Source organism: Homo sapiens, chromosome 3 (genome assembly GCF_000001405.40).
Source record: "Homo sapiens chromosome 3, GRCh38.p14 Primary Assembly".
Taxonomy (NCBI): domain Eukaryota; kingdom Metazoa; phylum Chordata; class Mammalia; order Primates; family Hominidae; genus Homo; species Homo sapiens.
This window is the reverse complement of record NC_000003.12, coordinates 128479384-128503342: the sequence shown is the minus strand read 5'-3', so window position 1 is coordinate 128503342 and position 23959 is coordinate 128479384. Positions and strand designations below refer to the sequence as shown.

At 56.6% G+C, this 23959-nt stretch overlaps 1 protein-coding gene and 1 long non-coding RNA gene across 4 annotated transcripts, besides 10 other annotated features; one reads left to right on the top strand and one right to left on the bottom strand.

Moving 5' to 3' along the window:
• Positions 1 to 135: 135 nt before the first annotated feature.
• On the bottom strand, positions 136 to 14140 carry GATA2-AS1 (GATA2 antisense RNA 1). The gene is made up of 3 exons (NR_125398.1): positions 13673 to 14140; positions 13274 to 13564; positions 136 to 1734 (listed from the first exon to the last, which is right to left on the bottom strand). It is a non-coding gene; the product is annotated as a GATA2 antisense RNA 1 (long non-coding RNA).
• Positions 10142 to 23921, top strand: GATA2 (GATA binding protein 2). 3 transcript variants are annotated; one of them, NM_001145661.2, is made up of 7 exons: positions 14813 to 14991; positions 15422 to 15632; positions 16267 to 16540; positions 16975 to 17616; positions 19338 to 19483; positions 21399 to 21524; positions 22025 to 23916. In NM_001145661.2, the coding sequence occupies exons 3-7, from the start codon at positions 16312 to 16314 to the stop codon at positions 22322 to 22324; spliced, it is 1443 nt and encodes a 480-aa protein (NP_001139133.1). In that variant the 5' UTR covers positions 14813 to 14991; positions 15422 to 15632; positions 16267 to 16311; the 3' UTR covers positions 22325 to 23916. The 3 variants fall into 3 exon arrangements, with proteins under 3 accessions (NP_116027.2, NP_001139133.1, NP_001139134.1); NM_032638.5 differs by lacking the exons at positions 14813 to 14991; positions 15422 to 15632 and adding an exon at positions 10142 to 10444; NM_001145662.1 differs by lacking the exon at positions 14813 to 14991 and having other exon boundaries at positions 21441 to 21524; positions 22025 to 23921.
• Positions 10343 to 10432: a silencer, noted in NCBI's record as "silent region_14707". NCBI's record gives its function as "represses an Ori minimal core promoter by ATAC-STARR-seq in GM12878 lymphoblastoid cells {active_cell/tissue: GM12878}" and the evidence as "EXISTENCE:reporter gene assay evidence [ECO:0000049][PMID:35858748]".
• Positions 12204 to 13013: an enhancer, noted in NCBI's record as "H3K27ac-H3K4me1 hESC enhancer chr3:128209173-128209982 (GRCh37/hg19 assembly coordinates)". NCBI's record gives its function as "activates a minimal SCP1, AML or CMV promoter by ChIP-STARR-seq in naive H9 embryonic stem cells {active_cell/tissue: H9 hESC(naive)}" and the evidence as "EXISTENCE:reporter gene assay evidence [ECO:0000049][PMID:30033119]".
• Positions 13014 to 13825: an enhancer, noted in NCBI's record as "H3K27ac-H3K4me1 hESC enhancer chr3:128208361-128209172 (GRCh37/hg19 assembly coordinates)". NCBI's record gives its function as "activates a minimal SCP1, AML or CMV promoter by ChIP-STARR-seq in primed H9 embryonic stem cells {active_cell/tissue: H9 hESC(primed)}" and the evidence as "EXISTENCE:reporter gene assay evidence [ECO:0000049][PMID:30033119]".
• Positions 13826 to 14636: an enhancer, noted in NCBI's record as "H3K27ac-H3K4me1 hESC enhancer chr3:128207550-128208360 (GRCh37/hg19 assembly coordinates)". NCBI's record gives its function as "activates a minimal SCP1, AML or CMV promoter by ChIP-STARR-seq in primed H9 embryonic stem cells {active_cell/tissue: H9 hESC(primed)}" and the evidence as "EXISTENCE:reporter gene assay evidence [ECO:0000049][PMID:30033119]".
• Positions 13826 to 16211: a biological region, named in NCBI's record as "CRISPRi-FlowFISH-validated H1-10 regulatory element 2". NCBI's record gives its function as "regulatory_interactions: H1-10".
• Positions 13891 to 15672: a transcriptional cis regulatory region, noted in NCBI's record as "chr3:128206514-128208295 region (GRCh37/hg19 assembly coordinates) targeted for CRISPR interference". NCBI's record gives its function as "negatively regulates H1.10 gene expression in K562 cells {active_cell/tissue: K562}" and the evidence as "EXISTENCE:mutant phenotype evidence [ECO:0000015][PMID:31784727]".
• Positions 15317 to 15516: a silencer, noted in NCBI's record as "silent region_14706". NCBI's record gives its function as "represses an Ori minimal core promoter by ATAC-STARR-seq in GM12878 lymphoblastoid cells {active_cell/tissue: GM12878}" and the evidence as "EXISTENCE:reporter gene assay evidence [ECO:0000049][PMID:35858748]".
• Positions 15604 to 16211: an enhancer, noted in NCBI's record as "H3K27ac-H3K4me1 hESC enhancer chr3:128205975-128206582 (GRCh37/hg19 assembly coordinates)". NCBI's record gives its function as "activates a minimal SCP1, AML or CMV promoter by ChIP-STARR-seq in naive H9 embryonic stem cells {active_cell/tissue: H9 hESC(naive)}" and the evidence as "EXISTENCE:reporter gene assay evidence [ECO:0000049][PMID:30033119]".
• Positions 18729 to 19293: an enhancer, noted in NCBI's record as "H3K4me1 hESC enhancer chr3:128202893-128203457 (GRCh37/hg19 assembly coordinates)". NCBI's record gives its function as "activates a minimal SCP1, AML or CMV promoter by ChIP-STARR-seq in naive H9 embryonic stem cells {active_cell/tissue: H9 hESC(naive)}" and the evidence as "EXISTENCE:reporter gene assay evidence [ECO:0000049][PMID:30033119]".
• Positions 19294 to 19858: an enhancer, noted in NCBI's record as "H3K4me1 hESC enhancer chr3:128202328-128202892 (GRCh37/hg19 assembly coordinates)". NCBI's record gives its function as "activates a minimal SCP1, AML or CMV promoter by ChIP-STARR-seq in naive H9 embryonic stem cells {active_cell/tissue: H9 hESC(naive)}" and the evidence as "EXISTENCE:reporter gene assay evidence [ECO:0000049][PMID:30033119]".

The window sequence follows — 23959 nt, the reverse complement described above, 5'->3', positions numbered from 1 at the left end:
TTTCTGGTCACCTTCATGCTCACTCCGACTCCCTACTCATCCAGTCCCTCCTGCCCACAAGGTGGCAGGGCAACTTCCAAAATGCACATTGAGCCCAGCACACCAAGGTAGCTAACGCTAGACACTCTTTCCTTCTTAATGTTCGATGCATTTATTTCCATGTGATTCAGAACATACACAACTAGCTCACTGACCCTTGATTTCGGCAGTAATATAAATTTGCCTTTTAGAAATAATTTGGTTTACAAAGACATGAACTGATTTTAAAAAAAATGATTAAGGAATCGGGGGAGGAAGAGATGCAGCAGAAAGACCTGGGCAGAAACCCGTGAAGATGGTGCTGGGAATGACCGGGCTTTGGGGGCTTGGGCCTGCGGCAGAGCACCAGCCCCTCTCTGTGCATTCCTGGCCCACGGGCCCCCACCCCTGTGCTCCCACACACCCAGGTCTCCACCATCATCCCAGCCTTGGGGAGCCCTACCTTTTCCAGAACATGCTGGGCTGCTCCACCCCTTGGCCTTTGCATGTGCTCTTCCCACTCTCCAGATGGCACAGGTTGTCTCCAAGATATTTTGCAGGACTGTTAGTCATTTATGTTTTTTACATTCAAAGTTTTAATCCATCTGAAGTTGATTTGGATCTCTAAGACGAGTGCAATTTTATTTTATCCCAGATGGATATTCAGTTGTGGCTGGTACCACTTACTTCACAGTCTGCCCTTCTCCCACCGAATCAAAATACTACCTTTGGCATATATCTCATTCTCATATATCCTGAAACTTATTTTTGTATTCTCCATTCCTTTCCATTGTCTAGTCCTCTGCCAATGCCATATTGATCTGATTACAGTGACTTTGCAGTATGGTCTTATTTCCAGGAAGGCAAAACCCCCACAGCAGTCTTTTTTCCAGTCTTCCCTGGTAATTCTTGGGCATTTATTCTGCTGCATAATCTTTCAGATCATTTTATCTAGTTTTTTAAAAAATCACCCTGTTGGTAATGGAATTTGAATTACATTAAATTTATATGGAAAAAATGGGAAAATTGACATTTTTCTGATATTAAGTTTCCCCATCCAAGAGCATGTCTTGCTCTTTTTTAGATCTTATTTTAAAATCTGTCAGAAGATTTAATTCCATCTGTTTCCAAACTTTTACTTCATATGCTTCATTTTCATAAACGATAGACAGTGCCCTTTCGTGATGAAAATCCTGCCAGTTCTTTCTTCAGCTGAAATGCTGTGTGCCTTGTGAACATCAGCATGGATGCCTGCAAAGGAAAGGTCATGTGGCGTCCACCTGAAAAAAGGTCCCAGCATCTGCTATGTGGTACCCTCAGGATGGGCCGTCTGCTGTGTCCTAAGTTTATTTCTGTTTCTTTTCTTTCTTTCTTTCTTTATTGATACAGGGTCTCACTCTCTGTCACCCAGGCTGGCATGCAGTGACACGATCACAGCTGATTGCAAGCTTCGATCTTCTGAGCTCAAGTGATCCTCCTGCCTTAGCCTCCCAAGTATAAATTTTTATTTTTAGTAGAGACAGGGTCTCCCTATGTTGCCCAGGCTGGGTATTTCTTAATTTCTTTTTCTCTGTTTTAACAAACAGGGCTCCATGAATGTCTTTGGCCACATCTCTTTCTTGCTCATGTGTGAGGGCTTCTCATATGCCTGGAAAAGGAATGGCTGGGCCGTGTGGCATTCCAATCTTCAGATTTGCCAGAAACAGGCAAATTACTCTGCAAAATAGTTGGAACAATTTACATTCCTGGTAATAGGGCAAGGGAATTCTTGTTTCTTTATGTTTTAGCCAGCGGCTGGAATTTTCCCCCAGCTTTTCTTCCTGGCAAACTTTTTTCCATCTTTACTTTGTAGTCAAAAAGTTTTCATTGTGCATTTTAATCTCGTTTTCCTATACAGGATATATATATGTGTGTGTATGTATGTGACTGTGTATATATTTCTCCATCTATCTATCTATCTATCTATCTATCTATCTATCTATCTATCTATCATCTATCTGTCTATGTAATTTCAACAGGAATCAAAGGGTACACCATGAAAATCTTTCTCCCATCCCTGTCCCCAGCCACCCAAACCCAGGTCCCAAACCCAGGTAGATGTCAACCATTGTTAACAGCTTCTTTTGTTTTCCATCCAGAGAAATTCTGTAAATATGTAAGCAAATGTATATATTTTCTCTCCTTACCCCAGTTCTTAATCAAGTGGTAACACATCACTGTCATCACTGTACTGCACCTTTATTTTCACACAAATTCTATCTTGGGATAATGCCGTATCAGTATGCAAAGAACTACTCTTTCCTTTTTCTTGTCCTTTCTTTCTCTCTCTCTCTGTTTTTTTTTTTTTTTTTTTTTTTGACAGTGGCATAACCTTTCACCTGTAGACAAACATCTTTTGTTTCCAAACTTTTGCCATAATCTATGAGGCTGTGGTGAATTTCCTTATACATTTTTCAGATGTAAAGCATATATATCAGATGAAGTCCTATGAGTGGAATTCCCAGCTCAAAGCGTAAATGTATTTGTATGTTTGACAGCGTCCTGTTGCCCACCCCAACCCAAGAATGCATCAGTGGACGCTTGCCCCAGGCCGTCTCCCCCATGCCTTTAGGAACATAATGCATTATCCAGTGTTTTGACATTTGCTAATACCAACAGGTATAAAATGGTATCTCAAAGTGTTTTTATTTTTAAAATAGCCTTATTGTGATATAACTGACATACTATAAAGTTCATTTGTTTTAAAGGTACACTTCAATAAGTTTTAGTAAATTTATAGGGTTATAACCATCACCACAATCGAATTTTAAAACACTTCCTTCACCCCAAGTATCTTGACATGGGTTAAATTTTCATTTCTCTGAGTGAGAGTATGTTTTCATTCATTTAAGAGCCATTTCTATTTCCTTTTCATTGAATTTTCTGTTCATATACTTTGCTCTTTTTTTTTCTATTTTTTTTTATTGATTTGTAGGTACTCTTTATATATTATGCTTCCAGATTAGTGTAAGTGCCTGTCCTCCAAAATTCACCCTGTGGTTCCAATTCTCACAGGCTGGAATTAATAGAACCTGTGGATGGGGCTGCTCCTTTACCACACCGTGAGGTGCCTGCACACAGTGACCTTATTTGATTTTATTCCATGTCCTCTGCTGCCTAGCACAGGGCCTGGCCAGCATAGATCTCTGCAAGTAAGCCTGGACTCAGCAGCGGTCCACCTATGTTCTTTCTTCCCTCAGCATTCTTCTCATAATTTGTGGAGATTTTTCGATCTGTGTGGTGAGTCATATCTGACTCCTCCACTGGACTGACTGCTCCCTGAGGGAAGGTACCATGGCTGCTTTGTTTGCTGCTGTATATCTGGGGTCCATGACAGTGTGGCCTAGCACATTATTTAAAAGTGCTGATGAGATGAATTTATTAACTAATTAATTACTAAGTGGTTTACAGTACCTGGAAGGAGAAAGATATTGGAAGGTTACAGAGAAGGAAAGCCAAAACCAGCAGAGCCACAGCACCTGGTATTTCCATGACGGGCACATCCCTGAACCAAGGGCCTGAAGTGGGTGGGTGGGAACCCTGGTGCACAAGTCCACAGGTGGTAATACTGCAGGACTCTGCCATCACATTGCCATTCAGGAATACAGTCCCAGGGTAGCTCACCTTACAACTTTTCAAGAGAAGCTCGAAATGACGCTCTTTATGTGACATCTCTCACTTCGAAATGTTGGTAATGATCAGTCACTGCACAGGCCCCCGAGACTTGGGCTGCCAATTTGCAAAGCCTGGGTTTACAAAACAAACCTCTTTTTAAATGCAAGCTCACACCTAATTCTGCCAGTAATCCTGGGGGGAGGTGGACAGAGGAAGACCCTGAGGCTCAGAGTGGAAAAATGACTTGCGTACAGCCACCCAGCTGTACGTGGCTGGGTATGTGTGCAGGGGTATGTGTGTGCGGAGGAGATGGGGGGAGTCCCGACCCCCTGGCCTGAGCTGTCACACAGCTCCTCTTCCAGGAGGGAATTGGGGCATTTCTGAGGGAAGTGAAGCTAATTCTCAGAGCTCCTGGCCAAGGAGTTTGTCACAAGCCTGCCTGCATGCTTGGCCTGACACCTCTGAGTCCCTTCCACGGCAGAGATGGGGAGGCTGAGCTCCCACCTGGAAGCCCAGCTGGGCTGCGGCCTTCTCTCCACTCTCTATACCTCGCTGTCCGTCCGTGCCCCACGCACAGCAATTAATCACCACCGCCTCATGACAACTCTGGTATAATTATCTTGTATTATGAGTGAAGTCTCACCAGCAGGCCAGCCCTCCCTAGAGAGGCCACGGCTCCCTCAGAGCCGGGTCAGATGTGTTCTCCGCCCCCATGGGCACAGCGGGTGCAGGGATGTGGAGGGGCCTCAGTGGTTCTCTCCCTCCATCCCAGGCCCCTCTGGGATAGGGGCAGGTTGGTGGGGCTGGAGTGGCTGCTGAATGACTTCCAAAGTCATGAGGGGAAGGAGGAGTTACCGTAGTGATAAAGAGAAATGACAATGATGAAGGCAGGTGGCTGGGCCCGTCCAGCCCCCTCTAGTCCTCATTCCCTCATTCCCAGAGTTGCGACTGATGCCAACCAATTGTCAGATATGATTCCAGTGGCTGAGCTGTAGCCACAAGCAAAACAGGAACTCCCTCACCTCCAAGGATCCTGGTATTCTAGAGGGGGAGTCAGACAACACACACACAGGGGCGAGACTATTTCAGACTGTGTTAAGCACTATAAAAGAATGCATAGACAGAGAAGAGCAGGGGACAGGGGAGCAACTTGGCTCTTGGAGAGTGACACTTGAGTGGAGTCAGAATGCATTCGGGGTGGAGGGGACAGTAGACTCAAAGGCCCTGGGGTGGGAACACTCTGGAACAAGAAGAGAGTCATTGTGGCTGCAGTGAGGAAGAAGGAAATCAGGTCTGAGAGGTCAGTAAGGGCCACTACATAGGTTCTAAGAGTTTGGCTTTTATTCTAAATTCAGTGGGATGCGTTCTCAGAAACGATTTTTTTGCTGCCAACTAAACTGTAGCCTTTGGCAGTTTGCCCCCGTCTATAATTTCCTGCCCATCCATCCATCCATCCATCCATCCCTCCAAACATCCTTTCAAGAAACACTTATGGAGCACCTACTGTGTGTTAGTCTGGCCCTGGGGAACAGCAGTGACAAAGCAAAGCCCCTGCTCCCAGAGAGCCCGCCTTCTGGAGGTAGAGACCCTCACCCCACCTCTTCTGCACGGGCACCGGCTCCGCGGACCCCACCCGAGACCCCGCCGCCGCCAGGTGGCGCTCTGCGCCTGCGCTTGGGCAGCAGCCGGGGGTCGCCGGGCTGGGGCCGGGGCCGGGGCCGGGGCAGGGGAGGGGCGGCCGGGGAGTGGGGGCGGGGCCCGCGTCGCAGGTTGTGTGACTTTGGGTTTGACCTGCCTGGAGATGAGCTAATCCCGCCGTATAATAGACTCTGGGGAGATAGGGAAAATGGCTGCGGCGCTATCTGCGTCGCCATGGGGACCATCGCGCGCGCGCGGGCGGGGCGCGAGCCTGGAAAAATACAGCCTTTGTCGGCGGCGCGTGTCACTAACGGCGCGGGGACCTCAGGCGGCGGGCTCGGGCTTCCTTGTCCCAGCTGCAGAGGCTCTGGGGCTCGGACGCCCGGGTGTCCCCAAACTCCGCGGACGGCCCCTCTTCCTTCCACACTCGCACATTCCGTTTTGGTCAAGAAAGTCTCCCGTGACACAGCACGTTCCACCCCGCCGCTCTGGCGTCTGTCACACCGGCACACACCATTCCCTGTCGCTTCCCCAGCCCGGAGTCCACCCACGCTGGCACACGGACAGGCCCCGACGACTGCCCTTCCCCGTGCCCCTCTCTCAGCTCACCAGGGCACACCTGGGCAGAGATACGGCAGGACACACACAGCCTCACGCAGACCCAAGCACACCCCAAGCACGCCCGGCGGGAGCGGTGACACTTGCATGCTCATCCCGGTAGGCACAGGTAGCTTGTGTGCCCCGAAACACAACGTAGGGTGGGCACTTGCATGCACACAGCACATCCACCCTAGTGGCCTCCGGCGTGCTCCCCTAAACAGCCACCTCCAGGGCAGACACAGTGAGGCACTCGCAGGATGCTCATCCGCTGCACTCGGACACGCGGGCTTGCATTCCCATTCCTCCACCACGTGTCCAGCCACCCTGGGCCGCATGCCTGCCCACAAGCTTAGTGCAGCACCGCCTCCTGTGTGAACCCTCCACCCGCCTCATCGGCCGCCTCCGGACACAGCACAGACGCCTGCCATGCGTGTGCATGGATGGGCTCGCACACCTGCACTTTTTTGTGGTACACTTGTTTGACACACCCGCACAGTTGCATCGGCGTTAGCCCATGCACTGGCACACCCACGTGTCCATCCAAACACGCCGGGCACACCGGGGCGCACACTCAGTGGCCCCGGCAGGCAGGCGAGTGGTACGGGCACGGGGAGCCCGCGTGCCCCCAGCAGAGGGCTATCTGCCTGCCCATCAGCGCTCGGATCTGCGGTGGTAAATGATGCATTCGATGGCGGGCGCATTTGTTGTGCGCTCTCTGAAAGGGCTCCGATAATCTGGAAGGCAGAGATAAGGAACACCATTTATTCCGCGGCACTTTGGAAACAATTCCCAGCCCTGTACAACCCCATTCTCGGGCAGCCTCCGGGAGCCGGGCAGATAACGACTGGCTATTCATTATCTTCGCCGGGAACAAAGATTAGCCGGCCGAGATGAAAAATTACCCCGGACAGCGGCGCAGCCCCGCGCGGAGCCCCCTGCCCGCCACCACCGCCCGCGCCTTGGTGTCCCGCCCTGCCCGCGGCCCGCAGCTCATGCCCAGCCCATCCTCGCCCGGCGCCCGGCCTCCCGCGCTTCCTTCGAGCTTGGCGGCTAAGCCCTGTCGGCCTTTCCATCTCAGTCTGTCCATCCCATCCTGCCCATCTTTCCTTTGCGTCCCCACTCTTCTCTCTGGGGCCCTTCTCACGTCCCTCTTCTCGCATTGGCTCTTTGCGCCTCTCTTTGAATCTCTCTATTTTTGTCTTATCTCTCTGTCCTCTCTTATCTCTCTCCTGTCTCTGTCCATGTCTCTGTGGTTATCACCTTCTTTGCTTTTATTCCCATCTTTCTGACCCTTTCTGCCACTTTTTAGTTGTTTATTTCTGTCTGTCTCCAAGTGTCCCCAAGCTCCAGGCCTGTCCCCACCAGTGCCTCTTCCTCATTGTTTTTTTAAAATCTGTCTTTGGGCCTCCCATCTCTTTCCCCACTCCTTGTCTCTCTGGATCTTTCTGTCACTGAATCTCCATTTCTCTTCATCCACCCCACCCTGAGGGCCCCACATCTCCAGGCCTCATACCTCCTGCCCTCTCAAGGCTGTGAACCTGGCCACAGACCAGAGACTGGAAGGCTCCAGCCAGCTCTGGCCTGGCCAGCCCAGCTCCGCCCAGTAGGCAGGAGGCAGGTGGGGTGGGGAGGTGCAAGGCCTGGAACCCCCTTTCCAAGGAAACAAGACAGAAGTAGAAAAGGCCCTGTAGGCACCCAGGCCCTGCTCCTGTGCTTCAGACAAGCTCGCCCATGCCCCTCCCCAGTGAGGCCCAGGGCCTTGGGATCGGGTGGTCCCAATGAGGACACCTCATTAGAGCAGTTATTCAGCATGGCGCTGGCGACAGCAGATAAGCCTTATCAGCTCATCTCCCCTCCCACAGACAGACAGAAAGTGCCCGAGCAAATGGTACCCTAGAGCTCCACTGGCGGCCTGCCCTGCTGGTTAAGGAAGGTCTGGATGGTGTGTGATCCTGCAGGATGCACACCCCGCGTGTCACCCAGGACACACTTTTCTACAGTCCACAGAACAGGGCACTGCTGGCCACAGAAACATGCATTTCAAAGATGTAGTCATATACACAGTTGCCCACAACCCAGATACGCAGACACAAACACCCACCGCAACACACATCAATTCATACATGGAGCTGTACGTAGACATGCAGACACACTCGGATACATCTCCTCCTCCCCACCATCAGTTCAAAGATACAATGATATACACTGATACCTATGCTGTTAAAGACAGATGGACATGCACATAGCCAAATGCATGTTCAAATACACAAACACAAACACACGCCCCAACAGCCATCAATTAATAAAGAGAATTATACATGGATATCCAGACACATGCAACACACCACACACACACACCTACACATACACCAGTTCAAGGACACATGCAGATACCCAGGTACAAACTATTAAAGACACACACAGGCTAGGCGCAGTAGCTCACGCCTATAATCCCAGGACTTTGGGAGGCCGAGGTGGGAGGATTGCTTTAGTCCAGGAGTTTGGGACCAGTCTGGGCAACATAGTGAGACTGTGTTTCCACAAAAATAAAAATAAAAATAATTAGCCAGGCACGGTGGCACATGCCTGTGGTCCCAGATACTCAGGAGGCTGAGGTGGGAGGATGGCTTGAGTCTGGGAGGTTGAGGCTGCAGTAAGCGCTGATTGAACCGCTGCACTTCAGTCTGGGTAACAGATCAAGACCCTGTCTCAAGAAACAAAACAAAACAAAACAACAACAACAACAAAAATACACACAGTAACACATGCCTAGATACATGCACATACACACGCAAACACACACTCCAAAACACACCCATTCATAGACATGCCACACACTGCTACAGACACATGGGCAAACACCTGGAAATCCCCACCCCTCATTACATGAGTCTCTGACATGATGACCCCACAGACACAGAGCCAAAGGGACGCACAACCATTTCCACAGACACACTCTCTTGTGCCAAATTCCAGGGTCATGAAATAGCCACACTGTGACCTACTGCCCAATACACAAACTCTCAGGAACCCACAAGAAGAAATGAACATACTCATACACCCAGTTTTGCAGACACTCCTGTGTGCTCCTAAGTGCACACAGACACACCTGGGCACACAGGACATAGACTCTGAGCCACATGCATAGAACACACACACAATGCAATAGTCACCACCAGATTTGGAGAAAGACCTATGGACAGCAGGGGTCACAAAGACCAGGGGACAGAAACACTCCTCTGGGGCACACCTGGGCACGGGAGCACAGATTTCCCAGTCCTTCCAAGCCCAAGCACTTTCCCTCTGGGCTCAAGGTCCCCAGGCCACTTTCACTCTCCCTGATCTGCTGGAATGGGAATCAGGGGTGGGGGTGGGGGGACGCTGACTGGTTGAATCCCTTAGTAAGAACTTTGGCAGCACAAGGACTGGACTGTCTTTGCCCACAAACCCAGGGGCCTTCTGGGGATGAGGACTCCCACACTCACTTTCTCCCCCCCTCCTGACTCCCACTTCTGTGAACAAGCCCTCTGCACACTTCCTTGCTTCCCCCATTGTGAGAGTCTGCCCCAAGGAGATGGGCCAGGGGGACACCAGACAGTGGACTTCTAAAGTGCTCAGGGGGTCCCCCAGCGTTAGGAACTGGAGGGGGGGTGGGACAGGGAGAGGGGCTGCGCCTGCACTTAGCTAAACAAGCCTGGCAGTGAGGGCGTCCTGAGTGTGAGCCCGAGTGCCGAGTTGCATCTGATTGTATGGCCATGTGTGTCGGTGTGACCCAGGCCGTCTGTCTGAGGATGTCCTCGCGGCCACAGCTGTGTGCACATGTGCAGGGATGTGTGCGTGTCCGTGTGAGCACTCCTGGAAGTGGGTTGAAGACAGAGGAGCGGGCGTCTGTGTACCATTATCAGTGAGTGCGTGTGCTCACAGCTCCTGAGGGTCCCCGGGGAGAGTCTCAGTAAAGACGTGTCCCAAGCTTTCTGAGCAAGCATCCCTGAGGTCAGGGGCGCGCGTGTGCGCTCCGGAGAGGGTGGGAGCGGCCTGGAGTGTGGATGCACAGGGTGTGCGCGCCCTGAGTGCCTAGCGGCCCTTGGCCGGCCAGGCGGCTGGACCTGGTAGGCCGGGTGCAGAGCCCCGGGTACCCTCCTGCCCCCTGCGGCGCTCCCGCCCCCGTCGCCACCCCCTGCCCCCCCGCAAAGTGATGTCGAAATAAAAAGCCGCGTTGCGGCCGGTGGGGGAGAGAGAGGCAGCGTGAGCGCCAGGAAGGTAGCGAGGCCAGCGTCGCCCCGGGACTCGCTGCTCAAGTCTGTCTATTGCCTGCCGCCACATCCATCCTAGCAGGGCCCCGTCGCCCACCAGGCGGACAAAAGCGGTCCGCTGAACACCATGCGGCCGCTCGGCGTGCCGCCCAGGCTCTGCTGGTGAGCGCCGCCACCCCGCGCCCAGGTCCCGCGAGCCCGCCTGCCGCGCACCTCGCCCTGCTCCCAGCTCTACTCCAGGCCCCGTCCGCCCGGGGGCGCCGCCCACCGCGCCTCGCTCGGTGAGTTTCTTCCACTTCCACCTTCCCTGGGCCCGGCCCTTCCCGCCCCCGGCCCGGCCCGCCTGGCACCCGAATCGCTTGGTCCGTTTGCCCTGTGGCCCCTACCTTTGGGGCTCGCCTTGGCCCTGCCAGAGACCGGAAACCCTGGTTATAGGGACTTTAACCAGAGGGAGTATTTGGTTACCTGGGCACAGCAGGCCCGCCTCGGGCCTCTTGTCTTCCCATTTCTCGGAGCCACAGGCCACGAGACCCTGGCATTCCCAGAGCCTCGCAAAGCACCCCCGCCTCCCGGCCCCCGAACTGGGGCCTTTGTCTCGGCCGCCCCCAATCCCCAGGCCACCGCGGCGGATGCGTCCGAGCCGGGCCGCCGAGCGGCGGCTGCACCTGCCGGCTGGTCCCGTGCGCCGGCTTTTCGCGGCTTAACCCAGCTCGCTCCTGCTTGCGCCCCCGCGCGCTGCGCCCCGCAGCCCTTTATCCTGTGTGACTGGGGTGCGTGTGGGGGAGAGCGCCGGGTCTGGAAGTCTCCCCCCGCCCCAAGCCGGAGTCGGAATCCGTTTAGTGGGATTTCAATAAGAATGGGGCCGCCGCGGGCTTGAAGATCTGCCGCCGGTAGGCGTAGACGGCGTTCTGGATCTGTCTGAAAACGGGGCATTTAAAATTATTCTGTGGCGGCCAGGCTTGAACTCCGCGTTGCTCCAACCACGAGGGGAAAGGCCCCGCGTTCAGGGACCCCGTGTGTGGCGAACGCTCCTTTACCGGAAAACAAGGAAGGAAATTCGTTGTTTTGGAAAAAGCCTCCTCTCCCGAGGTCGGGAACATCTGGTGGTGAGCTCCAGGTCTACGCAGGCACCCCGTGCTAGGATTCGTTTATGAGCAGGCAGGATTCGAGAACCAGGTAGGGCCCGTGCGGCAGCCGAGGCGTCTGGGGAGCGTTTCCCAGCCGGGCTGACAAATTGCAGACAAATTGTGCCTAACGAAACGGATTTACCAGTTGTCAGGCCGCCGGCCCCGGCCGCTCCAAATAAACCGTGGCTGTTCGTGGAGGAGGGAGAAGCACGGCCCGATTGTCTCCGGGTCTCAGCAGGGTTCCGCGGGGAGCCTGCCAGGCTTGAAGGTAGGGGTCAGAAGCGATATAGAATCTCGGAGGCGCCTGGGTCCAGGGTGCCGAGACACCTAGGACGTGGGGGCCACAGACTCTACGATTCCCAAAGACACAGAACAGTAATGAGGTGGGAGAGCCTGCACTGATGCCGAGGGAGGGAGCCTTCTGCTTTAAGGGGCTGGAATTGAACCTCAAGGAGCAGGAGGGGCCGTTATAGCAGTAGTCCCCCCCTTGGGAACCCCCCCGGAGGGATGGCTGCTGGCCTGAGATCTAATGCCCCGGCTTTAAGGGAACTTCTGAACCCATCTGCTAAGGCACCCCACTTCCTCCCCGTACCCCTCAAGGTTTATTGCCAGTGTGGGGCTGGGAGGCCGCTGGGTTGCGAATTAAATTTCTCTATGGAAGGTAGTCCCTTAGCAAATGGGTTTCCTTGACACCCCACCCCCAGCCCCACACCGCGGGCCAATTAGCTGCCCATAAGGAAAAGGCGAGAAGAATTAGGTTACAAAGGGAGGGCAAACTTATGGTCCCAAAGGGGCCGCCTCGGATGAGCTAACTTTAAACAAAGGGCTCAGAGGGGGGGGGGGGCTGGACGGCCGGGGAGACCTGGGCATCTCTGTGTCCCCACCTGGCACCCGCGGCTTAGTAGAGGCCTGAGAAGCACTCTAGAACCGGGCACCAGATCTGCTACCTCCCCAGCTCCCAGGCAGAAGCACCCAGGTCAAATGGTGGCGATCGCCGCTGTGAGTTCTCGGGCCAAAAGGGTCCTTCGAAAATTCTGCTTCCTGGCTGACCTTCTCCAGTCCTCAGAGAAATCTTGTTCCCAAGTAAGGAAAGTGACAGCTTCTTAATGTGATCAAAGGCAGCGCCAGCATTTCCAACTATACTCCCGAACGAACAAAGTACTGAAAAAGGGAACGCGTCCCTCTAAAGGTGTTTTGGGGACCCCAAAGTTCCAGCCCATAAATTGGAGTAAATCTGCTCTCACCAGGCCTGGAACAGCGCCTCAAGACCCCAGCAGATTCTGGGGGCTGCGTTGACCCTCCCCGGGAGTTTGTTTGGGGCCCAAGGTGGGAGGACCATGTCTTCGGCCTAATGGGGAGGGGCCCGGTTGGTGTCCCTCGGTCTGCCTGGCACACACAGACATTGTCGAGCGCGGGTCCCTCTTTATTGGCCAGCTGGGCGCCCTGCTACTTGGCGTCGCATTTCTCTCTCCCAGGCGGGTTCGTTTCCGCCAGAGAATGCAGCAGTCCCGCATCCTACGCAGGACCTGCAACCGAGGTGGAGGCTTCGGTCAAGCCGGCTCCTGCCTGCGTTGTCGAGGAAGGCAACCCCAAGGCCTGAAAGGACCTGGCAGAACTCCTGTTTCCTTTTTTTCCTCTACACCGGATTGCGGGCAAGGAGGCTGGTTCGGGTCTCCCGAGGCCCCTGCTCAAGCACTCCTTAACCGTCCTGCTAAGCCCCTCTGTGCGGCGATTTTCTGAGCTGCCGAGCGGGGTAATTAAATCCCCTCCCTCGCTCCGCTCTGCGTCAGGCAGGCGGCAGCACAGGGCTGACGTTTGGGCAGGGGACTCAGCCAGGCTGGCCACCTCCACTACCGCAGTGGCCGGGACCCTGCCGCGGAGGGGTTAGACGCCGAGCTCGCTGCGCTGAAACTGGGAATACACACGGAACGGGGAGGGGGAGGGTAATTTTTACCGCGCCGGTGGGAGAAAAAGGCGAATTACCTGCTTTCCCGAGGGACGCGCGTAGCCACTTCCCTGAGAGCCGCGGCACCGATCGCGGCCGGGCGGGAAGCTTCCGCTCGGTCCTGGCGTTCACAGCCCAGCGGCCAGCTGCTGGTCTGCCTCCCGCGCTGGGTCCCAGGGTTCGCGCTCGAGCGGGGCAGCTTTGCCGGACACGGGGGATTATCCCTGGGGACGCGGTGTCTTTCAGAGGGTCTTGCTAGTCTCCGGAGACGCCAAATAGGCTCGAGCTCCGCGGCGATCTCATTTTACGAGTTGATGAAGAATCGTAAGCTAAAGGATGGGAAAAGTTGAGAGACAGACGGACGGAGAGACAGTGGGCCCCGGCGGGACCGCACGCGTTGAGGGGAACGCCAACCGGGAGGCACGGAGACTGCTCACCTGCCCGGCCTGGCCGCGGAGGCCCGGCGCCAAGGGCCTCGCGCTCGGCCTCCCGCCCCCTGCGCGGCTTCCCGGGCTGGCGCCGGCCTCCGCTCCCGCAGAGTGGAGTTCCGAGCAGACCGGGCTCCGCGCGCTCCAGCGTGGAGGGGAGCGGGAGGCTTAGCAGGCGGCTCGGGCAGGCGGGTCCCCCAAGGGCACGAGACGCGCTGGTTCCCAGCCCAATGGAGCTCTGCGCCCCCCAGCCCCGCGCTTTACCTGCGCTGAGGCCTCGGACAGACAAACGGACGCCAGACGCCTAGGCAGGAGGAGGCCTCAGCCTGAGCCCGCGGCCCCTTGGCGCTGCCCTGAACTGGCCTGGGAGGGGGTGACGGGGGCGCGCCCGCGGAGCTGGGCCCAGCCGGGCGCCCCCGGAGCCGAGGGGACCGAGGGCTTTCCTCCCTCCTCGGATTATTAAAAAGTTCATTTCCTGGCGAATCGGGTGACGTCAGGGGCTCGGCGTCGCGGTGGCGGGGCCGCCCGGCCGGAGAAGCCGCCTCCAGTTACCCAATTACCGACTGTCAATCCCGCCGCCCCTCCCCCACTCTCCCGGGGGTGGCCGGGACCCCAGCCCTCCTCCTGCCCCCGACCCACCTGGGGGCCCTCTGGACATCTACCCCGGGAGCCTCGGGCCCAACAGGGAAGAGGGCTGGAGGACGCTGTTGAGTCCCCCCAGTACTCGGCACCTGTCTAGGTCCCCCAAAATGCCTTTGTCCTGGACCTCCCTCCTCGGCCCGGGGCTCCCTTCGAGCCTCCGTCTCCCCAGTCTGTACAATGGGAGGGAGGAAGACTTGTGCGCCCGGCCCACACGAACCATAGAGCCGATCTCCGGGCTAGAAGTGAGTGGGGAGCACTTCCAGGTGACTTAGAAGACGGAGACCTCAGACCACCGCCTCCCCCTCACCAGAGGCCACCTCGGGGACCCCCCCCGGAGGAAAAAAAATGCCACCTCTTGCCCGGGGGCGTCTCCCTCCAGCTGGCGCCGGCGCCAGTCCGGGTCTCCACGGCCTCGCCCCAGGCAATTGGGCCCGTTGGCCTGCGAAGGCCACGCCCGGGGAGGGGTGCCCCCTCCCCCTTTCTGGAGCCACCGGCCGGGCCACCTCCACTGGGTCAAGCACAGCCCTGAGCGGCCGCGTGTCCGAGGCCCAGGTGCCCTCTAGAGCCCTGTAGTTCCTGCCCCTCTCTGCCCCTCTCGGCTCCTGCTGTTCCGCCGCTGTCGTCCGAACCATCCCAACCCCCAGTCCACCCAGACAGCGCCCGAGCTAGGGGAGGGAACGGTCTGGGTAGGTAACTGCGCTCGGACTGACCACGTTCAGCGGTGAAGGAGCGTGGCGGGGTTAGGGTCTCGGGGAGAGGCCATCCAGAGGGTGTGCGGCCCGGGCTCCTGGGGAGGGGGCAGTTGGTGGTTAGTTACTGCTAGGGAGGCCCAGAGCATCGAGGGATCCCGGAGTGTTCGCAAGAGGGGCTGCAGGGGTCGGGCCTTGGGGTGAGGGTCCCTTAGTGGTGGGGCGCGTTGGCAGCAGGGGCCGCCAGGAGCGCGCAGGGAGGGGGCCCGCCGGCTGAGGGGGGCCGGCCCGCGGGTCAGTCCCGGAGTCCAGCGGTTCGGGAATTGCGGACGCAGCCAATGGGAGGCGGAGGCTGGGAGGCGCGCGGCGTTGATTGGCTGGCTTGGGCTTCTTAGGCGTGCGCGGCCCCCGCTTCATGTCTGTGCAGGAGTCGGCAGCTGGCGCCAGGGCGGCCGGAGGATGCCGAGGGGCCGGAGCCGGGAGGGCCCGAGGCCGAGGCGCACTCTACCCCCAGCTCCTACCCTGTAAGCCCCGCCAGCCTCCGGACGTGCTGTCCCTGGGCCCGTCGCCCTCGGGGCTCCCGCCGGAACTCCTTCACTCTCAGAGGCCGAGTCCCTCCCCTCCCCACGGCTGCGTGTGTAAGTTTGGGGTTTGAGAGCCGGCTGGGGGCCTGGGGCGCTCCTAGCTTTGAGGGGACTCTGGGGGGACTTAGGGCGGGGGGCCAGGCTGCGGGCGACTGCTTTGGTGTGCTTTGTTGAGAGGTCCTGATTGTGCCGCTTAGTACTGCGCTCAGGGGGCTGCGTGTGCATGTTTTCGGGGTTGAGATCAGTATGTGTATCTGGCGCCAAGTGTGGGTGTGTGCGTGTCGCTGGGATCAAGTGCCACACTGGGTGCCCGGGCGCCTGTCTCCAACTTTTGAGTCTGTGTTCATGTGTTTGTCTACCGGGCGGGGGGGCTCAGTGTGAGTGTCTGACTGAAGTGCTGCTCTGTGCGTTTGTTGGGGTCACTGGTGTCGGGACCCGTCCCCGGGCGTGACCCCATGTGCACGGGTGTGTGATTCTGGAGCCGCGGGTCACCACGTGAGTGTGCGTGGCTGAACCCCCTCCCCCGCCTTCCTTTCGTTTTGAGCCTTGGGCTTTCCTCCCACCCGGGACTGGTGCTCTTTCTCGCCGGATCTGGGCTGGGGCTCCGTGGCGTGCGGGACACCTCGTGGTGGGACTTTGGGGGGTGTCAGGCGCTGGCGGCACGCCTCACTCCCCCTTCCTCGCGCAGGGCCGTTGCCGTCTGCACCCAGACCCTGAGCCGCCGCCGCCGGCCATGGAGGTGGCGCCCGAGCAGCCGCGCTGGATGGCGCACCCGGCCGTGCTGAATGCGCAGCACCCCGACTCACACCACCCGGGCCTGGCGCACAACTACATGGAACCCGCGCAGCTGCTGCCTCCAGACGAGGTGGACGTCTTCTTCAATCACCTCGACTCGCAGGGCAACCCCTACTATGCCAACCCCGCTCACGCGCGGGCGCGCGTCTCCTACAGCCCCGCGCACGGTGAGCACTGGGCCCGTGGTGATGAGAACCCAGGCGCCGCGCGCCAGGCGAGGGAGGGGAGGAGGGCCCGTCTGCTTGCTTCCCGGATGTAGGATCCGCAGGAATCGAGCTGCTGAAAAATTGGGGCGGGAGAGGTGGGAGCAGCGGCCGATTGGGGAGGGTCTGGGACCCACAGGGTTTCTGCCCACTTCCAGCTGGCCTGTGAGGGTTCCCTGTAGGGTCTGTCCGGTGGGGTTCCTTCTATGCCACTTGTCCTTCAGCTTGGACTGACATTCCTGATTATTACCGGTGGGGTATTATGTTTCTGGCTTTCTTTGGGGAGGGGATGACTGCTGGTTCTGGGAGTCGTGATCTCAATGTCTGTCAGGGGCGTCCCTAGCTCTGCCTACCCTGATCTTTCTGCCCACCCTGATCCTCTCTCTCTTTGCCCGCAGCCCGCCTGACCGGAGGCCAGATGTGCCGCCCACACTTGTTGCACAGCCCGGGTTTGCCCTGGCTGGACGGGGGCAAAGCAGCCCTCTCTGCCGCTGCGGCCCACCACCACAACCCCTGGACCGTGAGCCCCTTCTCCAAGACGCCACTGCACCCCTCAGCTGCTGGAGGCCCTGGAGGCCCACTCTCTGTGTACCCAGGGGCTGGGGGTGGGAGCGGGGGAGGCAGCGGGAGCTCAGTGGCCTCCCTCACCCCTACAGCAGCCCACTCTGGCTCCCACCTTTTCGGCTTCCCACCCACGCCACCCAAAGAAGTGTCTCCTGACCCTAGCACCACGGGGGCTGCGTCTCCAGCCTCATCTTCCGCGGGGGGTAGTGCAGCCCGAGGAGAGGACAAGGACGGCGTCAAGTACCAGGTGTCACTGACGGAGAGCATGAAGATGGAAAGTGGCAGTCCCCTGCGCCCAGGCCTAGCTACTATGGGCACCCAGCCTGCTACACACCACCCCATCCCCACCTACCCCTCCTATGTGCCGGCGGCTGCCCACGACTACAGCAGCGGACTCTTCCACCCCGGAGGCTTCCTGGGGGGACCGGCCTCCAGCTTCACCCCTAAGCAGCGCAGCAAGGCTCGTTCCTGTTCAGGTAAAGGCAGGTGCTGGGGACTTCGTGGAAGAGGGGAGCATTTGCGTTTTTGTGGTGGGGAGCTGTGACTTGGGAGAGGTGGCAGTGTTGGTTTCCCAGATCTGGGGATGGGTGATGTCTCGCTCTAATAGCCCCCAGCAGATGTTTGAGACCCCCGGGTCAGGGAGAGGAGACTCTAAAACTTTTGCCATTTTCTTAAGTGCTTCCAGTGTACCCCCAAAGTTCAGTTCCTTGCCCCAGGGTTGGTCACTGCCTGACCAGAACATAGAACAGGAATTCCCCCTTTCCCTCCCTGAATCTTAAGTGAAAATTCAAGCCACCTCAGGACTTAGTATGTGAAGCGAGGGAAGTGACTCTGTATGTGCATGTGTTTGGGAGCGTGTGTGCATGTGTATACGTGTGTCTGTGTGCATGTTGTGTGTGCATGTTTCAGGCACTCCGGAGGTTCCAGACCATTAAGGAATCTGGGTCTCTAACTCAATCAGTCTGATCTTGGGATTTCGATGGCTCCCTGATCTCCTCGGGAGATTTTCCCCAGAGCAAAATTCCCAGGACCTGCTCCTGCTCCCTGCCCTCGCCAGGCCCTTCCCTCTCCCTCCCTGAGGGCTGGAGTGAGGGGATGAAGCTGCAGTGCCCCCGCCCCTTTTCCCGCAGCTGGCTGGGGCCAAACTGGGTTTGTCCAAGAATCTGGCCACAGAGCATAAACCCAGAAACTCGTGGCTAGTGTGGAGTTCTTGCTGTCCATGTCTCTTTCCCGAATCCCTTTGAGCCACAGAGGGGGAAGGTTTTTAAAACAGTTACTCCTGAGTGCAGGAACCACCTTCTCTTGCCAGGCTGTACTCCTCATTTAGTTTAAACTAAATCAAGAATAACTTCCTGGGGAACACGATGCCAGCCAGTGATCCTGCTCAACTTGGTCCCCAGCCCCAGCCCCCGCTGGCCCCAGCACCCGCTGAGCCCCGGCTCAGGGTCCTAGTTCTGCTCAGACCCGTCAGCTTGCCTTTTCTTGGTCCTTTCTCCTGTTTGTTTTGCATTTTATTTGAATTCCAGATGGTCTTTTAATTGAAAAAAAAAATACAAACAAAAAAAACCCAGGCCACTTATCTAAAAAAGAAAGAGCTTATTATTTATTTTATTTTAAAGAACAACAACTTCGATCCATTATTTCCAGGACTCAGAAAAATTCTAGAGCTTTGGTGGAAGAGGAGAAAAGTTGGGGAGAAAGAGGGAAATGCTTCTGGACTTAGAGCAGAAAGACGGGGTGGGGCAGACACAGTTGGGTAGAAAGGAGAGGGACAAAAGAGGAGAGGGGGAGAGACGCGCCAGAGCGGGAAGGAGAGAGCCTCCTGGGCCCAGCCAGGTTGAGCTGGGTGACTCCTGCCACCACCCTACCCTCGGCAAAGTTTGCAGTAAATACCCTCCTGGTTGCTCCAGAACGCCTGGGGCCCTGGGCCCCTCCTCCCCTCCTCCTTCGTTTCCATCCCTCCTGGTGAGGATTGGAAGCAGGGGATTTGGCTTTAAACGACTCTGGACCTGTGCCCCCTCCCATGTGGGAGACCCTCTCGTCCCTCTTCCTGCCCAGGCTGTTGCAGCCAGGCCCAGGCCAACCGTGTGCCTGAGAGGCACCGGCACTGCTCGGCTGGCTGCTTTCCTGCCCTGGACTCCCTCCCGAGAACTTGCCGGTTAAGCAGGCCCCCGTGTCTCTCCCTGTTCCCCTGCAGAAGGCCGGGAGTGTGTCAACTGTGGGGCCACAGCCACCCCTCTCTGGCGGCGGGACGGCACCGGCCACTACCTGTGCAATGCCTGTGGCCTCTACCACAAGATGAATGGGCAGAACCGACCACTCATCAAGCCCAAGCGAAGACTGGTAGGAGCGGGCACAGGTGGCTGGGAGGGGGCTGCTGGGCAGGAGCTGGCGGTTAATTACAGGGGAAAAAAACTCCTTCAAATGCAGACGCTTTGCCGCTTGAAATCCTCTTTTATCATGAAAAGCACTGGGATGTCAGTTGGGGTCGTCTCTCTTTCTGGCCAGATTCTTTCGGGCCAGATTTCCTCCTCGGGTATAGGGAGCCCACCGGGCACCCTTGCGCCACCCCACTCTGCTCCGGGATCCCCGAAGTTGAGTGTCCACGGGCCGGACTCCTGTCCTCTGGCCTCTGCTTAGCTCTTTTTTAAAAATAGGGCCATGAAGTACTTTTCCTTGTGGCTCAGCCCTCCCCGACAGCCCCGCTCACAAGCTCCTCGTGCTTATTTAAATAAAACACAAACTCACACCGGCCACTAAAAAAACCTGCCCTTTATTATTTTTCCATGGAGTCACCTATACTGTGTATTTTCATTTGAGTGATTTTAAAAAAATGCCCTTTCGGATCTCCTGCCGGAGTTTCCTATCCGGACATCTGCAGCCTGAAGATAAGGAAACTTCGTGTATCTGTTTCCGGACTCTGCGAGTTTTTAGAGTCTCCTCAGCTCAGTCCTGCCTCTCGCTGGGCTGTTTTGAAATTTCTAATACCCTCCACTCTGCAAATAATGCGTAAAATGCTAAGAATAATAAATATATTTTTTCAGGGCGAAGTGATTTATGAGGCTTAAATCGTTCCCTGCTTTGGGGGCCTTTTTTTCCCCTGGAGCGAGGGCGGGGTGAGGCCCGGGTGGGGGTAGAGGTGGAGGACGCGGCGTTGGCCCCTGAGTCAGAATTCCAGCTTCAGGCTGCTTACTCACCCCTCCCTGCCCCCGCGGCTGCAGTCCCTCTGTCCCTTCTGTGACCAGGCTTGGGCCTGGGGCTGTTCCAGGCTCTGCAGGCCTCAGCCCCCAGCCCCCCACACTCACCACCTGGTGCACTCCCGCCTGCAGTTCTCTGGGAAGTGTTGGGGGACCCCCTCTGTCACTGTGGGGCTGGCGTTGGTGGAACCGGGAGAGGGGATCTGTTTTCTTGGGTAAAGCCTCCCTCTAGCTTCTCTCTGCAAGGACCAGGCGCTCATTTCCAGACCCTACCTCTGCCAGGCATTTCCTGAGGGACTAGGACTCAGAGGGGCTGCGGGGTGGTTAAAGCTCTAAGGGTTGGGGTATGGGGGGCTGGATGGGGGGGATCAGCACTCACATCAGCTGGAGAGATGGAAAAGTTCTGTGTCTGCACTGCCCACTGTGGTAGCCCCTGGCCACATGTGAATATTGATCACTTGAAATGTGGCTCGTGCAATTGAGGGAACTGGGTTTTTAATTTTGTTAATTTGTAGTTAGATCTTATTTAAATGGCTGCCTGTGGCCAGCTGCTACAGTGTTGGACGGTGCAGCTCTGCACTCTGTAAACCTGCGCTGGCCTCAGCGACACTGACTCACCCAGGATTATGGATTTTGAGCGGAGTCGTGCTAGAGGAGACACAGAATCGGCCCCAGATCCAGGGGCTCGAGGGGGACCAAGCCGGCTCAGCCTCAGGATGCCTGTGCTACTAGAGAGCCCTTCTCAGGGCCTCAGTTTCCCCATTTATGGAGTTAGAGCGCAGGGTAGTTGGGGGAGGTAGCTAATTCTCCTCTGTAGCTCTTGCAATCCCGTTGATTCTAACATCAGGCTTCTGAGAGTTCTTTATTCCAAAGTTCTGTGAGTCTTGACTTATTTCGTTCTCAAATTCTAAAATTCCATGGTTCTGAGATGCTTTGATTCCCATGTGAGATTTAGCCCTCCTTGACTGAGCTGGTGGGGACTGGGGGTGGAGCGAGGGTCAGGGAGGGGGGTCGAGGTGGGCGTGGGAGTCCAGCCTGCTGACGCTGCCTTGCCCTCCCAGTCGGCCGCCAGAAGAGCCGGCACCTGTTGTGCAAATTGTCAGACGACAACCACCACCTTATGGCGCCGAAACGCCAACGGGGACCCTGTCTGCAACGCCTGTGGCCTCTACTACAAGCTGCACAATGTGAGTGCGCCCCGCCCCGGCCACCCCGCCCCTCCCAGGGGACCTCTGCGCTTTGTGCTGCCAGGCAAGAGGCCCCAGCCACAATATCCAGCTTGGCTTGGCTTGGGAAGCTGCTGCCCTGAGTGAGCGCCAGAAGGGCTTCCCGTAAGAGGGGTGCCTTGCCTCTGCTCAGGAGGTGGAGCTGGCTAGGACAGGGTCTCGGACTAGGGAAGTGGTTTCTCTGCTTAAAAAGGGTCAGGGTGGGGGGGAGGACTTCAGTTGGCTGGGCAGTGCTGGCATGCGGTGGGCAGAGCCAGGGAGGGTGTGGGTCAGCCCCATATGCCAGAACCCGCCCTTCCTGGAATGGTAGCCATCTGGTGATGGGACTATGAAGGTCGGGCACAATTCCTGGCTTCCTGGGACCCTCAGCTTGACCTGCCTCTGGTCCACGCTGTGGCGGGGTGGGAGGAATGTTGCTGGAGGAAGGAACTGGCCCTCTGAAAACTGGTGGTTGCCTCTAGGTTAACAGGCCACTGACCATGAAGAAGGAAGGGATCCAGACTCGGAACCGGAAGATGTCCAACAAGTCCAAGAAGAGCAAGAAAGGGGCGGAGTGCTTCGAGGAGCTGTCAAAGTGCATGCAGGAGAAGTCATCCCCCTTCAGTGCAGCTGCCCTGGCTGGACACATGGCACCTGTGGGCCACCTCCCGCCCTTCAGCCACTCCGGACACATCCTGCCCACTCCGACGCCCATCCACCCCTCCTCCAGCCTCTCCTTCGGCCACCCCCACCCGTCCAGCATGGTGACCGCCATGGGCTAGGGAACAGATGGACGTCGAGGACCGGGCACTCCCGGGATGGGTGGACCAAACCCTTAGCAGCCCAGCATTTCCCGAAGGCCGACACCACTCCTGCCAGCCCGGCTCGGCCCAGCACCCCCTCTCCTGGAGGGCGCCCAGCAGCCTGCCAGCAGTTACTGTGAATGTTCCCCACCGCTGAGAGGCTGCCTCCGCACCTGACCGCTGCCCAGGTGGGGTTTCCTGCATGGACAGTTGTTTGGAGAACAACAAGGACAACTTTATGTAGAGAAAAGGAGGGGACGGGACAGACGAAGGCAACCATTTTTAGAAGGAAAAAGGATTAGGCAAAAATAATTTATTTTGCTCTTGTTTCTAACAAGGACTTGGAGACTTGGTGGTCTGAGCTGTCCCAAGTCCTCCGGTTCTTCCTCGGGATTGGCGGGTCCACTTGCCAGGGCTCTGGGGGCAGATTTGTGGGGACCTCAGCCTGCACCCTCTTCTCCTCTGGCTTCCCTCTCTGAAATAGCCGAACTCCAGGCTGGGCTGAGCCAAAGCCAGAGTGGCCACGGCCCAGGGAGGGTGAGCTGGTGCCTGCTTTGACGGGCCAGGCCCTGGAGGGCAGAGACAATCACGGGCGGTCCTGCACAGATTCCCAGGCCAGGGCTGGGTCACAGGAAGGAAACAACATTTTCTTGAAAGGGGAAACGTCTCCCAGATCGCTCCCTTGGCTTTGAGGCCGAAGCTGCTGTGACTGTGTCCCCTTACTGAGCGCAAGCCACAGCCTGTCTTGTCAGGTGGACCCTGTAAATACATCCTTTTTCTGCTAACCCTTCAACCCCCTCGCCTCCTACTCTGAGACAAAAGAAAAAATATTAAAAAAATGCATAGGCTTAACTCGCTGATGAGTTAATTGTTTTATTTTTAAACTCTTTTTGGGTCCAGTTGATTGTACGTAGCCACAGGAGCCCTGCTATGAAAGGAATAAAACCTACACACAAGGTTGGAGCTTTGCAATTCTTTTTGGAAAAGAGCTGGGATCCCACAGCCCTAGTATGAAAGCTGGGGGTGGGGAGGGGCCTTTGCTGCCCTTGGTTTCTGGGGGCTGGTTGGCATTTGCTGGCCTGGCAGGGGGTGAAGGCAGGAGTTGGGGGCAGGTCAGGACCAGGACCCAGGGAGAGGCTGTGTCCCTGCTGGGGTCTCAGGTCCAGCTTTACTGTGGCTGTCTGGATCCTTCCCAAGGTACAGCTGTATATAAACGTGTCCCGAGCTTAGATTCTGTATGCGGTGACGGCGGGGTGTGGTGGCCTGTGAGGGGCCCCTGGCCCAGGAGGAGGATTGTGCTGATGTAGTGACCAAGTGCAATATGGGCGGGCAGTCGCTGCAGGGAGCACCACGGCCAGAAGTAACTTATTTTGTACTAGTGTCCGCATAAGAAAAAGAATCGGCAGTATTTTCTGTTTTTATGTTTTATTTGGCTTGTTTTATTTTGGATTAGTGAACTAAGTTATTGTTAATTATGTACAACATTTATATATTGTCTGTAAAAAATGTATGCTATCCTCTTATTCCTTTAAAGTGAGTACTGTTAAGAATAATAAAATACTTTTTGTGAATGCCCCTGGCCTGTCTTGTGGGCTCCCAGGGTGCTGGGTCCCG

What these genes read in the sequence shown, in the direction of transcription:
- GATA2 (NM_032638.5), top strand. Translation starts at nt 16,312, where the DNA reads ATGGAGGTGGCGCCCGAGCAGCCGCGCTGGATGGCGCACCCGGCCGTG. An exon ending in CAAGGCTCGTTCCTGTTCAG is followed by an intron (nt 17,617 to 19,337) that starts GTAAAGGCAGGT and finishes GTTCCCCTGCAG; the next exon opens with AAGGCCGGGAGTGTGTCAAC. An exon ending in TCTACTACAAGCTGCACAAT is followed by an intron (nt 21,525 to 22,024) that starts GTGAGTGCGCCC and finishes GGTTGCCTCTAG; the next exon opens with GTTAACAGGCCACTGACCAT.